The sequence below is a fragment of the Homo sapiens genome, chromosome 8 (assembly GCF_000001405.40).
Source record: "Homo sapiens chromosome 8, GRCh38.p14 Primary Assembly".
Lineage (NCBI taxonomy): Eukaryota > Metazoa > Chordata > Mammalia > Primates > Hominidae > Homo > Homo sapiens.
The window spans coordinates 81438040-81451487 of record NC_000008.11 but is presented as its reverse complement, the minus strand read 5'-3'; the positions used below and the strand labels follow the sequence as shown (position 1 = coordinate 81451487).

At 35.9% G+C, this 13448-nt stretch overlaps 1 protein-coding gene across 2 annotated transcripts; it reads left to right on the top strand.

Annotated features, from left to right (window-relative positions):
• On the top strand, nucleotides 4049-11162 carry PMP2 (peripheral myelin protein 2). 2 transcript variants are annotated; one of them, NM_002677.5, is made up of 4 exons: nucleotides 4049-4174; nucleotides 6499-6671; nucleotides 6887-6988; nucleotides 8040-11162. In NM_002677.5, the coding sequence occupies exons 1-4, from the start codon at nucleotides 4102-4104 to the stop codon at nucleotides 8088-8090; spliced, it is 399 nt and encodes a 132-aa protein (NP_002668.1). In that variant the 5' UTR covers nucleotides 4049-4101; the 3' UTR covers nucleotides 8091-11162. The 2 variants fall into 2 exon arrangements, with proteins under 2 accessions (NP_002668.1, NP_001335310.1); NM_001348381.2 differs by lacking the exon at nucleotides 6499-6671.

Below are 13448 nucleotides of genomic sequence, written 5' to 3'. Positions count from 1 at the left end.
CTATCATGTTTGTTTTTATTATCTGCTCTATGAATTATCTACTTCCATTGTCCATTGTTTCTTTTAGCTTTTAAGTATATTTTCTCTTTTTGTTCTATTTATTTTTGATTAGCAATGTATATAAAAATTATATAAATAAATTTAGACCTCGGGTGACATTATCTTCTTTCTCTGAAGAGGGTTTATGTTCATTTCTGACTAGTAGCTCGGTTCACTAGCTATCCCAGATCACATTAATTTAATTTTAAGAATTGACTTTATATTAGCACAGGTATATTTTGAGCTTATCCTTAATCCTATGTTGCAAAGGAGTCTCAAGACAAAATGTAATGATTAACCAGGATTCTTCTTCACTTTTCCCCTAACCCTGTAGCATTGTCCTAAATGTTCCTTGGATTTTTCACCTCTAACCTGCCTCTTGCAGAATTCATAGATCCCTAGAGGAGCAGAAGCTCCAAATATGAGATTTGTCTCTCTGGACTTGCCTTTCTTTCCCAAGTCCTAAGCCCTTAGTTTTTCTCTGCCTTTTTATCTCTCTGATGCCTTGAAGATTTTTTTTCCTAATTTTGTTCATCTTTTTACAGTTGAGAAGTGAGTTTAATTTCCTCATCTATCATGGCTAGAAGTGAAAGTTCTAAGTTCTATTTTTATTTTCTTCCCAACTATTTATTTAAAAATGACACTTTTTAGAATGAGATTCAGTCATCTGCAACAACATGGATGGAACTGGAGCACATGTTAAGTGAAATAAGCCAGACATAGAGAGAGAAATATCACATGTTCTCACTTATTTACAAGATCTAAAAATCAAAACATTTGAGAACCCATGGAGACAGAGAGTAGAAGGATGATTATCAGAGGCTGGGAAGGGTAGTGCAGGAATTGTGGGGGAGTAGGAGGGAGGTGGGGATGGTTAATGGTTACAAAAAAAATAGAATAAATAAGACCTAGTATTTGATAGCAGAACAGGGTGACTATAGTCGATAATAATTAAATAGTACATTTAGAAATAAGCAAGAGTAAAACTGGATTGTTTGTAACACAAAGGATAAATGTGTGAGGGGGTGGATACACCATCTTCCATGATGTGGTTATTATGCTTTGCATGCCTGTACCAAAACATCTCATGTACCCCATAAATACATACACCTACTATGAACCCACAATTTTTTAAGTGACCCTTTTAAGTTGATTATTTATCTTGGTATTCTATGGTATGCTTCTCTTGTCATCAATTATTATCACAATATCAATTATTATTACAAATAATTTCAAATTCATTACAATTAATACTTCTTGCTTCAAGCCTTTATCAAATCATGAGTAGAATGTAAGTTCCATGAGGGCAAGGAATTTGATTCAATAATGTTTAACCAGCACTTTCAACAGTGCTTGGCACTTAATAAGCTCTCAACAAATATTTTTGCAATTGAATAAACAGCAAAAGTTGAGTTGGATCTTTGGCATCCAAGTGGAGGGTCAGGAATTCTTTGTTCATTTGCTATGTAATGATTGATTATCTTATTTCTTTTTCAAATATATAATTGGATTTAGCTTGAAGACAATCTATAAGGAACACTTACATGGTTTGTTATATAGAGTAAGCTTTCCTTATTTATTTTGTTTGGACCTTTGGATCTTCCTTTCAGTGTATGAGTCAAATAACTTGCTGTATCTTGAGAATTTACATGGACAATAAATTGGTGAAGAGAGAAGAACTGAATACACATCATAGAGAGACTATATGTATTTTACAAACATGTAGTTCAGTCTAAATATATACATCTAGTTATAATGTGGTTCTATGCATTCTTTCTTGTTAGGACATTGATGACTTTCTTAGCTAGGAGTGATGTAATGTTTCAGGCCTAGTTCAGTCCGGGTCTTCCCTCATTGCTTTGATCTGTGCCTTTGGCCCATATATTGGCCTCAGAATCCCATCACGGTCCAAACTTGTCTGGTCAGTTCTATTAATAGCAGTCAGGTACAATTGCTGATAAGCCTTAAGTAGAAAATTTTTCTCTTGGTCTAATATTGCTTCAAAGTTATAAGTTTTCTCTCTTGGAAATATATGGCTCAATGTTTATGTTTTAAACTCCACTGCTGTTCCTATGTGCAACACAGAGTCAGCTTAAAATTCACACAGCTTTCTTGTAGCAGTCCCACTGAATACAAGGTCTCAGCTCTAGTGTGAGGGTTTGGGAGTCCTTCATTTATTTAGGCAGAAAACCTAAATGTTGAATGCTGTACTCCTTAATAGTGTACAGCTAACAAAAAAAAAAAAGTTTTGAAGGTACAAGTGATATCATCATTTCTGTAAAGTGTTTTGGAAAATAAAATAACATATCCACTAATCAAAAGCTTTTTCTTTCACAGTTGTTTTTTCTATCCCAGTACAATGTACTCCCTCCAGTTACATTCTCTTGGGTTTAGGATTGGGTTAGTTGGTTAGCTGAGGAATTTTCCTATTCACCATTTCTTTCCCACCTTGAGCTATTCAGGCACTGGGATTGTAAATGAAACTTCAGCCCACTGTATATGATTTCACGTGTTTTACTCAGCTTGAACTCTAACTATGTAACTGCAATAGTTATGTCACAGCTATGCGACTGGGTTTCTTGAGCCCTTCTTGCTAGTAATTCTACCTGTTATGAGCAAATTCATCATATTTTTGTTGTTGTAAACAGTGCCAACCTGTTTACTAAATGTATAAAACTTGGTAATATCAGTTGTCTCCAGCCAGAATTAATGCTAAGGTAAAAACAAACAACAAACAAACAACAACAAAAACAAACAAACAAAAAACCTGCTAGGAAAGATATAGCAGTAATCAGAGATTCTCAAGAGCAACACTTATGTTCTAAGTGGATTTACGTTTGTTCCCCTTGGCCAAAGACTGGGGCTTTGATGTAATATAGTAGGCTGGATCTTTTGATTTTTTACCTCTCTTGATTTTTGAGAAGAGAGAGAGTGTTTCTAGCTAATCGTGGTGCTATCAGCATCAGGTGATCTCTGGCCAGGGCCTCCGTGCACGTAGCATGTATGGTATAGTATAATAGAAGCAGGGTAAGATCATGGTTCAGAACCCGGGCACTGGCAGCAATGCTGGGTTCAAACCTGTCCTCTCCTTATTCAACTTTTGGGAGCAATTTACCTAATGTCCCCAAGCTCATTTTTATCATTGGTAAAATGGATATAATAATAGTTCCTAACTCTTGGAATTAGTGATATAATTAAATGAGATCACCCGTATTAAGCACTTAGCACAGTGTCTGGCCCATAGTGAGTTGTCAATATAAATTAGTACTCTTTCTATAGAAAATCCTCTTTATAAAATTGTAGATTCATTTTAAATGACTTAAACACAAATAGTTATAGTATCCAGGAACCTGCTTAGTTCAGACTTTAAGTATTTCTAGCTGAAAATCTTTGTTGTGCTCAAAGAACATGTTATAGTGCTACTTCTTGTTTCATCACATGAATACAATTTCTGTGCTCTGCTGCAATAGACTGACTTCTTTGTCTGCCTACTCTGCCTGCCTGGGATATGTGAACTATGCCAAGCCTTCTTACCTATGAATACTTCCTCACACTGCTCCCCTACGTTTCTCTCCCACAACATATTTGAGACTGTTATCATAATACTTACAGACATTTTCCTCTTTTTCTTCCCTTTCAATAAGAATTCTTAATTGTGCAGACTCAGGATTGAGAGTGACCGACATGCCTAAACACACACACATTCATTCATGATCACAGAATTCATGCAGTCTTTTCCAAAGCATGAAGGGCCTAAGCCTTCTTATAAATGTAAGATTGATCAAAAAATTTTTGAAGATTCAAATAGTAATCTCATTCATTTTATAAATTTTTTTGGAGACAAAGGGAAGTATTATGTGGGGTTTTCTTTTATCCTATTGGGCGGGCAGCTGGCCATTGAAGAGCCATTCATTGCTTAGTCCCGACACTGCCTTTCCCCATTGGGTCTCTGTAAGAGTCACACGCTTTGGGCATCCTTGAAAAGAATCTTCTGAGGCCTCAGCATTTTATCTGAGTCTTCTGAATCCCACTTAGAACTGTGTTGAGCTCTCACCCATCACGATGAGCAACAAATTCCTGGGCACCTGGAAACTTGTCTCTAGTGAGAACTTTGACGATTACATGAAAGCTCTGGGTAAGAAATGCTTTTTGTTGTTCTGCTGAAAAGCTCCTTTTTAAGAAAGCTACATGACATTTTCATCTACTACTTTTAACAGGATACTGGGGAGTTTTGCAAGGCTGCAGTACAATCCTCTTTTAGGATTAATCTTTTGTTGTGTCATTCAGATAATTTATTTGAATTTTATTTGTGGTAATTTTTAATAGAATTAACTTAAATGAGAGAGCTGCTTAAATGCATGGAATGCCCACTGATTTCAAGGGCAATTTCATACCAAGAGAATTTTGGTTGCAGGTCCAGAGGAGAGAAAGCTTAAAAGCATGGTCAACCCATTTTCTGGCTTTTCTGAGAGCTACGTTCATAGCAACTGAAGTGTTCATAAAATAAGGAATTGAATATATTGCAAATCCTAGAAAATCTCAATTTAAAAATTTAAGTTTTAGCTAAACTAACAGTTTTTTCTCTCTACCTCTAGGTTGTCCTTTATTACACAATCATGTAGATACAGAGAGTTTGAAAAACAAAAATACTTCCTAAAATACTGTGTTCATAGTCTAGGGAAGTTACTGAGAGAAAAAGAACTGGAGTTATGGCAGTGAATTCAAACTCAATTTCGCTAACATCAGACGTTTCTGGAGTTGGAGCAGTGAGTGAAGATGGAAAACCGAGTCATTAGTTACAACAACTTTATTTTATACTATTTCTAGAGTATGTCCCATCGATATAAACACAATAGATATGAAGAGTCTTTGGGAATTTTCAGAACTATATAAATACAATAAAGAGTGATGCCAGTGACCCGAGTTTGCTGTGCTTGTCAAAGTGCCTACAGCTTTACTTAACTGTTCAGAAAGCCTGTATAAAATGTTCTATTTTAGATAAAATGAGCAAAGTCATGTCATTGTTGCCTGGAACAGTAAGAGAACTTATGGGGATCAATTCATACTGTGAGATCGGTTAGATTTAAAGACTTCACTTTACAGCTGAGGAAGAAGCCAAATAAAAGAAAGTCTCAGTGAAGGATTTTCTAATTCCACTGTTTTCCAGTTTAGCATGCAAAATAACACCTTGGGATTTGGTAAATATAAATTCTCAGGCTCTGACCCAGAGATTATGATTTAACTTGAGAAACATTGTCCTAAACTGTATAAAATAACAAAAGATTAATCAGAATTTGAAGAAAGAATATAGTTTATAGTTTATTGGCTGTAACTCTTAACTTCTTATTCAGTATGTAAAAGTTTGAGATCTTTTTAACTGGAAAAAGTTATTCAACCATTGAGACTTCCTGGAAAATTAGTTTTTCTTTCATATATTTTTTATTTTACATTTTCCCTTTTCCATATATTTTATAGTCTTGGTAATAATGGTAATAAACTTAAGAGTCTAATTTTGTTTCATTTTTGAAATGTAGAAGAGTTTTTTAAAAAATATTTTATTTCTCTATGATCATTTATAATAGTATAGATCTCAAAGTTAGATGGATAGTTTTTTTCCTACCAGCTAGATATAGAAGCCACAAAATTTCAGAAGTGAAATTCTATCAAAAATATGAGGGGAATACTTCTCTATATCCATAATATGGTATTGAGGGAAAATATCATAGAACAATACGTATATGCTATAGTCTCATCTTTAAAATATATCTATAGTATTTGTACATACAAACTAAAATCTCTAGAATGATTTATGCAAATCTATAATTAGTAATTTTCAATGGGGAATAGGATTGGATGTGATAAAAATGGATGACTTGCAGTAGCTATTTCAGCTGGAAACTTTTACTCTTGAAAATCTGCAGACATTGGCCGGGCGCGGTGGCTCACGCCTGTAATCCCAGCACTTTGGAAGGCCGAGGAGGGCAGATCACGAGGTCAGGAGATCGAGACCATCCTGGCTAACACGGTGAAACCCCGTCTCTACTAAAAATACAAAAAATTAGCCAGGCGTGGTGGCGGCCCCTGTAGTCCCAGCTACTCGGGAGGCTGAGGCAGGAGAATGGAGTGAACCTGGGAGGCGGAGCTTGCAGTGAGCCGAGATTGCTCCATTGCACTCCAACCAGGACGACAGAGCGAGACTCCGTCTCAAAAAGAAAAGAAAAAGAAAAAAAAAAAAGAAAATCTGCAGACTTTACTTTTGCAACAACAAAACCTAAAATGTTTGAGTCCTGGGCATGTATTTCCATTAGGAGTGAAACATGGGAGGAGATGCTTAGTAGTAAGTGATATTACCTGCCATCAACTCACCTGGGGCACCACTGAGCGTAGGATGTGGCCACCACAGTCTCTTTGGCTATGCTCTCTTGGTCAACATAATTCTAACACTATCTTAATTTTCAGGTGTGGGGTTAGCCACCAGAAAACTGGGAAATTTGGCCAAACCCACTGTGATCATCAGCAAGAAAGGAGATATTATAACTATACGAACTGAAAGTACCTTTAAAAATACAGAAATCTCCTTCAAGCTAGGCCAGGAATTTGAAGAAACCACAGCTGACAATAGAAAGACCAAGGTAATCTTTAATGTTTCTCTTCAAAGTTGGCCCAGTGGGCTGCTTGAGAGAGAGGAATATTCCTGCTAGTGTAAAAGGGTAGACTCAATTCTGTTGAAAAGGAGTGTACCTCCTGAGACATCTATATCTATTATGAAAATGGTTCCATACTGAAAGAACTGCTTCTTTGATCAACAAATTTCAGGCAAGTCAATTGCATGACCTTGTCTTTGCAGAGCATCGTAACCCTGCAGAGAGGATCACTGAATCAAGTGCAGAGATGGGATGGCAAAGAGACAACCATAAAGAGAAAGCTAGTGAATGGGAAAATGGTAGCGGTAAGAGTATCTTTACTTCTAAATAGAGAAATAATGCTATATAAATAATTTGATTATATTGTTTTCAAAATATTCTTTGTTCTTTGGAATATGAATGGATAAAAATGACTAAGAATAAAGTAAGAGTTAATGCTTCAGTGATATTTAAACTATTACAGACTCATCTTCAAGTACTGACCCAAGATTTTAGAAATAAAAAAAGCCATTTGTTATTTTACAAATAAAAATACCTAAAAATGGTAGTAAGGTTAAAGAAAGTATAGGTAAATCTTACTAGTTTGGGCTCACAAAGAAGAAAGCAAGTCTAAATTTTAAAAGCAAAACACTCTCTGCAAGGTGTATTTTGTAGACTATTTGCAAAGTCATTTGTAGACTATTTGCAGATATCCCACAATTTTGAATTCAAGAGCCCATAGTAACTTAGAATCAATCATGTCAATAAAGCAAGCTGAGCTCATTGGAGACTTCTAGTTGGCAGATGAAAATAATGACAAAGGTTGTATGTGATGACCTTTGATGATTTTTTTTTTTTAGGGTTAAGGCTTTATGTTCACTAATTAACACATACATTGAATGTAAATAGATTCATGTACTCTTCCGAATGTTTCTTTCTTTAGTACAGTGGTTCTTAGCCCTTGCTGCACAACAGATTTACTTGGGGAGTAAATACCAATATGGAGGCCTCCAAACAGATAATTCAATGTAAATCTCTTGGGGGAGGAGGAACCATCACTATATTTAAATATTCCCCAGGTAACGCAAATATGTAGACATTTTTGAAAACCACTGTCTTATTAGATTTAAATGCAAGTGAACTATACATAAAAACTTGCCACTTAAAAAAATTCCTTTACAGCAACGTAGATCAACTTTTAAATTGTTTCTTCTATTTCAATGGTCATAATTCTGAATTACTGGAGACTGACATACTGATATTTTATTCCTTTCTAAATTAATCTTATGAGTTTATTTTGAATTTCTATTTTTATTACAAATTTTCTGTTCTCTGGTTTGAACTTGAGATACTCAATTAACCTCTCTCTTTTTTAAGGAATGTAAAATGAAGGGCGTGGTGTGCACCAGAATCTATGAGAAGGTCTGAAAAATCATTTCTTCATTGAAGTGGCTTTTTATCATTTAATGATGGAAATCAATTGCTTCCATTGACAAAACTGAATACACTGCAAATATTTGTTTTTGCTTTTGTCTTAATATATCAGATATGCAAAGGCCTAAACTGAGAATTAATCTAAAAGTCAGTGTTATTTAAACATTTTCAATGTGCATGCATGTCATTATTACATCAAAGCATATATATTGGCCAGACACAAACAGTTGATGATGTCATTCAATTAACTACAAAATTCTAATCTATGTTGAACTTTGTATACTTGAAATGATAATAAAAAGGATATAATTTCTTAGTAAAATGAAATCAAAGTATTGATCAGGGTAGCAAACTCAAATGCTGACAGGGGCCAGAGGAGATATGGGGAAGGAGCATCAGAAATGAGGCAAGCTAGGAGAATGGGCTATTATAATGTAAAGAATTGTAGTCTCAGTTAAAAGGGGTAGCCTCTACTCCAGCCAACATTTTAAAATTAATGGATAATTTATAGACAGTTAAATTTATAGACAGTTAAGTAAAAATGGATAATTTATAGACAGATAATTTATAGACAGGTAAATGTGAGTTAAATATAACTCACATCCCACTCAAGACACAAAACATTTTCTTAATCCTAGTACATTTTTTTCTGTCCCTTCCCAATCAGTGTCCTTTTCTGTTCCACCCCTACCAAAAGCAAGTAGTGGTTTGGTTTCTATCATATAGATTAATTTTACCTGCTCATATGAAGGGAATTGTACATCATGCATTCTTTTCTGTTTGCCTTTTTTAAATTCAGCATCATGTTTTTGTGATACATCCACATTGTTGCATGCAGCTGTAGTTTGTTTCTTTTTATTACCAAGTACTATTTCATTGTATGAATATATCACAGTTTATCCATTCTACTATTAAGACAATTGAGCTATTTCTAATTTTCGGCTGCTATGAATAAAGCTGCTACAAATATTTTTGTACAAGACTTTTTGTAAACATAGGAGTCCCTTTATTTTAAATAAATAACTAGTCATATCATTAGGTCCAGTAATTGTTGACAGGCAGGAACGGGGGACCATTGCATTGTGCCCAAGTAATAATAAAACTATTTCAGATGTATTATATGATTGAGCAAATGAGAAAACATGTTGATGTTGATGGGAGTCAGGATGTTCACTATGGAAAAACAAATATACAAATATGAAATGAGGGAAGGCAAGAAAGAACCATGTGGAAATGGAATAGAATTGGTATAAATTCATAATTTCTAAACCATGTATATGTACGTTTATATGTATTATAATTGCATACACATGCCTCCATGCATATATGTGTGTGATAATACACATGCATTTATGTGCGTGTGTGTATACACATGCATATATTTACTAATCCTATCTGCCAAAATGGCTTAGACACAAAAACACCTCAGCAGAAATGAATATACCTAGCACTCAGATCTTCGTGTCTAATATAGTTTGCCACTAAAAGGAACCAAGGCTACTTGGAAAAATGGATGATTCCAAAGCAAGGGCAAGGTAGGAACAAGATGAGCTTGAAATATCTTGTTATGCCAGAAAGTAATGTTAAAAAAAAAAATAGAGGTATATTGCCAAAACATAGAGCCAGCTTGAAGGGGCTCCCACTGGCCAAACTTGAGCCAATCTGAGAGCAAAATAATTGAGAAAAATAAATAACAAGATAATTGAGAAAAAAATAAAATAAATTCCCAATTCCATTGGGAAAAAATAGAAATCCATGAATCCATACTGATATAATGATAGATAATCGATAGATAGGTAGATGACTGACAGATGATAGATAGATATATAGATAGATAGATAGATAGATAGATAGATAGATAGATAGATAGAGAAATGAGAAGGTTTCTCTTTTGCAATAGAACGTCATGGACCAGTGTTAAATGTGAGTGGAAGGAGTTCTGGAATTGGAAAACCATCATTTTTCAACCATCACAGTAAATATGGCTCAGGCAAGAATTATCAATCAATGCTAAAGCTAGGGGGAAATTTCGCTTAGGAGCAGGATATTAGGGTATTAGTCTGGGCTTAAAGTATCTCCTCACAGATTGTTGTTAGTTTCTGGGGAAAGAATAGTAACCATGCAATGGAAAAAAATGGACAACCTCTTGACTAGGTTATCAAAATTAACCTCACCAATAAAGGGTGGATGTTCAACATGTGCCTTCAAATGTGACCCACTGAGAAGGAAACAACATCACTGTAACAACAACAACCAGAAACGACAGGGGGTTTTGACTGAATTCTTCAAAAATGTCAATGTCATAGAAGACAAAGAAAGGTTGTGGAAATGTTTCAGATTAAATGATAGTAAAAACACCTGACAACTAAACATAGTAAGTAATACTAGACTGGATTCTGTACCAGAGGTAACATAAGTGCTCCAAAGGACAATGTTAGGTCAACTGGCAAATTGGAATATAGACAGTCAATCAGATAAGAAGTATACTTTGATTAAGTAAAAAAAATCCCTATTCTTGGAAAATACACAATAAAGTATTTTGAGGTAAAGGGCCATAATGTATGCAATCTACTCTCAAAAAATTCAGAAACATATATTTGTGTGCATTTGCATGTGCAACAGTACACACAAACATACATAAAGAGAGCAATTGATAAGGCAAATAAGGTAACATTTAACAATAATCTGATACACATAAATAGAGAAAGAGCAATTGATAAAGTAAATGAGGTAAAATTTAACAATAATCTGAGCAAAAGGTATATGTGTTTTCTTTGAGACAGTCTGATTCTTGCAACTTATTCTGTAAGTTGGAACTTATTTCCAAACATGATTGAAAAAAAACCCCGCACTTGGCAACTTCTTCTCTTTTTCAGCCTAGAAATGTCTGTGTTAAGTGGTTTTTTATTTATTGTTGTTGTTTGTTGTTATTGTTGTTTTGTTGCCAGGCTCCAACTCACAAAATACGAGTTTAAAAACTGCGTTGTTATTTTTAGAGATTTGTGATAATACAACTTGTTATAAAATTTATTCCTCAATAAATATAATTTCTCTACTATGCAAAAATTATGAGTGCTTTTTATTTTCATAAAAGAAAATGTTGAACTACACTGATAAGAAGGAAGGCAAAATAATCATTTCAGCAAACAGTATACTTGTTAGATTTGAAAACGATTTTAAAACAACCATAAGAGAGGGAAAAATAAAACAAAATGATATTTTAGTAAATTTGGGCTGCTGTTACAGCAAAACAAAAATAAACTGAATAGCTAATAAACAACAGAATTTTGTTTCTCACAGTTCTGGAGGCTGGGAAGTCCAAGATCAAGGTGTGGCAGATTCAATTTCTAGTGACGACTGGTTTCCTGGTCCATAAATGGCATGTTCTGGCTGCATCCTCACTTGGTAGAAGGGGAAAATGAGATTTCTTTGGCTTCTTTTATAAGGACCCTAGTCCCATTCATGAGGGCTCTACTCTCATTACCTAATCACCTCCCTAAAGGTCCCACCTCCTAATACCATCAACTTGGGAGTTAGGATTTCAGCATATAAATTTAGGGGTACACAAACATTCAGACCATAGCACTTGAGTTCTGTAATATTCAAAAATAGATCAGAATATAATTTTCCTTCTCTAATTCTTTTTTAATATAACACAGTGGTTAAGAACACAGCTAGAGGCAGGACTAGCTTGCAGCTCCTGCTCCAATGGACAGAGCAGTGTATAGACTTTTGCTTCAAGAACTACCACAGGGACATACCAGGAAAGCTGAGAGAATCCACAGACCCTTTGAAGGAACTGGATCACCACTGCAGGCTCCCTGAGGTGCCAAAAAACTGTGAGTCTGCTTGCTTTCTCAATGGGGCGGCTCGTGGTCTGGGGCAACTTCTCAGCCCTGGTCACAGGCTTCCTGGAAATACACTCAGTGCTGTTGGAGGGCTCTGGTGAGAGTGAGGTTTGCCTTTGGGACTGTGGGCTGCATGTGAACAGGGTGAGGCCTGTGACTGACAACTTTCCCCCACTTCCCTGGTGACCTGTATGACTCAACAGAGGCAGCCATAATCTCCCTGGAAATATAACTTCATTGGCCTGGGAACCACACCCCCATGCCCCACAGCAGCCACAGCAAGCCCCACCCAAGAAGAGTCTGAGCTCAGACACGCCTATCGCTACCTACCTGGTGGTCTTTCTCTACCTACCCTGGTAGCCCAAAACAAAGGTCATAATCTTTGAAGAGCTCTATGTCCCTGCCCACCACCTGGGAAACCTGAACACTTAACCAGGGGTTCCTAGGGCAAGTATGCATCCTCCCTATAGGACTGCAGCTAATGTGCTCTTGAAAGCACCACCTCCTGAATGGAAGCCAACCAACACAAAACCAGCGCAATAAACAAAAACAAAACCACAGAGTCCACTTTACTTCCTTGCTACCTTCTCCCAGAACAGGTGCTGGTATTCACAGCTGCAAGACCTGAAGATAGATCACATCACAGGCCTCTTTGCAGACACTCCCTAGTGCCAGCCCAGAACCCAGTAGCTCCACTGGGTGGCTAGACCCAGAAGAGCAAAAACAATTACTACAGTTTGCCTCTCAGGAAGCTCCATTTCTAGGGGAAGAGGGGGAACATCACATCAAGGGAGCACCCCCTGGGACAAAAGAATATGATCAGTCCTTCAATCCTAGATCTTCCCTCTGACATAGTCCACCCAAATGAGAGGGAGCCAGAAAAACAATTCTAGTAATATAACAAAACTTGTTTCTTTAACACTCCCAAAAGATCATACCAGCTCACCAGCAATGGATTCAAGCCAAGATGAAATCTCTGAATTGCCAGAAAAAGAATTCAGAACGTTGATTCTTAAGCTAATCAGGGAGGCACCAGAGAAAAGTGAACTCCAACTTAAAGAAATCAAAGACGTGATACAAGATATGAAAGGAAAATTCTGTGAAATAGGTAGCATAAATAAAAAACAATCACATCTTCTGGAAATAAAGGACACACTTAGAGAAATGCAAAATGCACTGGAAACTCTCAGCAATAGAATCAAACAAGCAGAAGAAAGAAGTTCAGAGCTTGAAGACAAGGCTTTTGAATTAATCTAATCCATCAAAGACAAAGAAAAAAGAATTAAAAAAAAAATGAACAAAGCCTCCAAGAAGTTTGGGACTAAACCTAAGAATAATTGGTGTTCCCAAGGAAGAAGAGAAAGTTTGGAAAATATATTTTGGGAAATAATTGAGGAAAACTTCCCTGGCCTTCCTAGAGATCTGGATATCCACATGCAAGAAGCTCTAAGAACATCTGGGAAATTCATCACAAAAAGATCATTGCCTAGGCACATAGTCACCA

Coding starts and splice junctions, on each gene's coding strand:
- PMP2 (NM_002677.5), top strand. CDS start 4,102: ATGAGCAACAAATTCCTGGGCACCTGGAAACTTGTCTCTAGTGAGAAC. Junction 6,672..6,886: donor CTGACAATAGAAAGACCAAG/GTAATCTTTAAT, acceptor TTGTCTTTGCAG/AGCATCGTAACCCTGCAGAG. Junction 6,989..8,039: donor TGAATGGGAAAATGGTAGCG/GTAAGAGTATCT, acceptor CTCTTTTTTAAG/GAATGTAAAATGAAGGGCGT.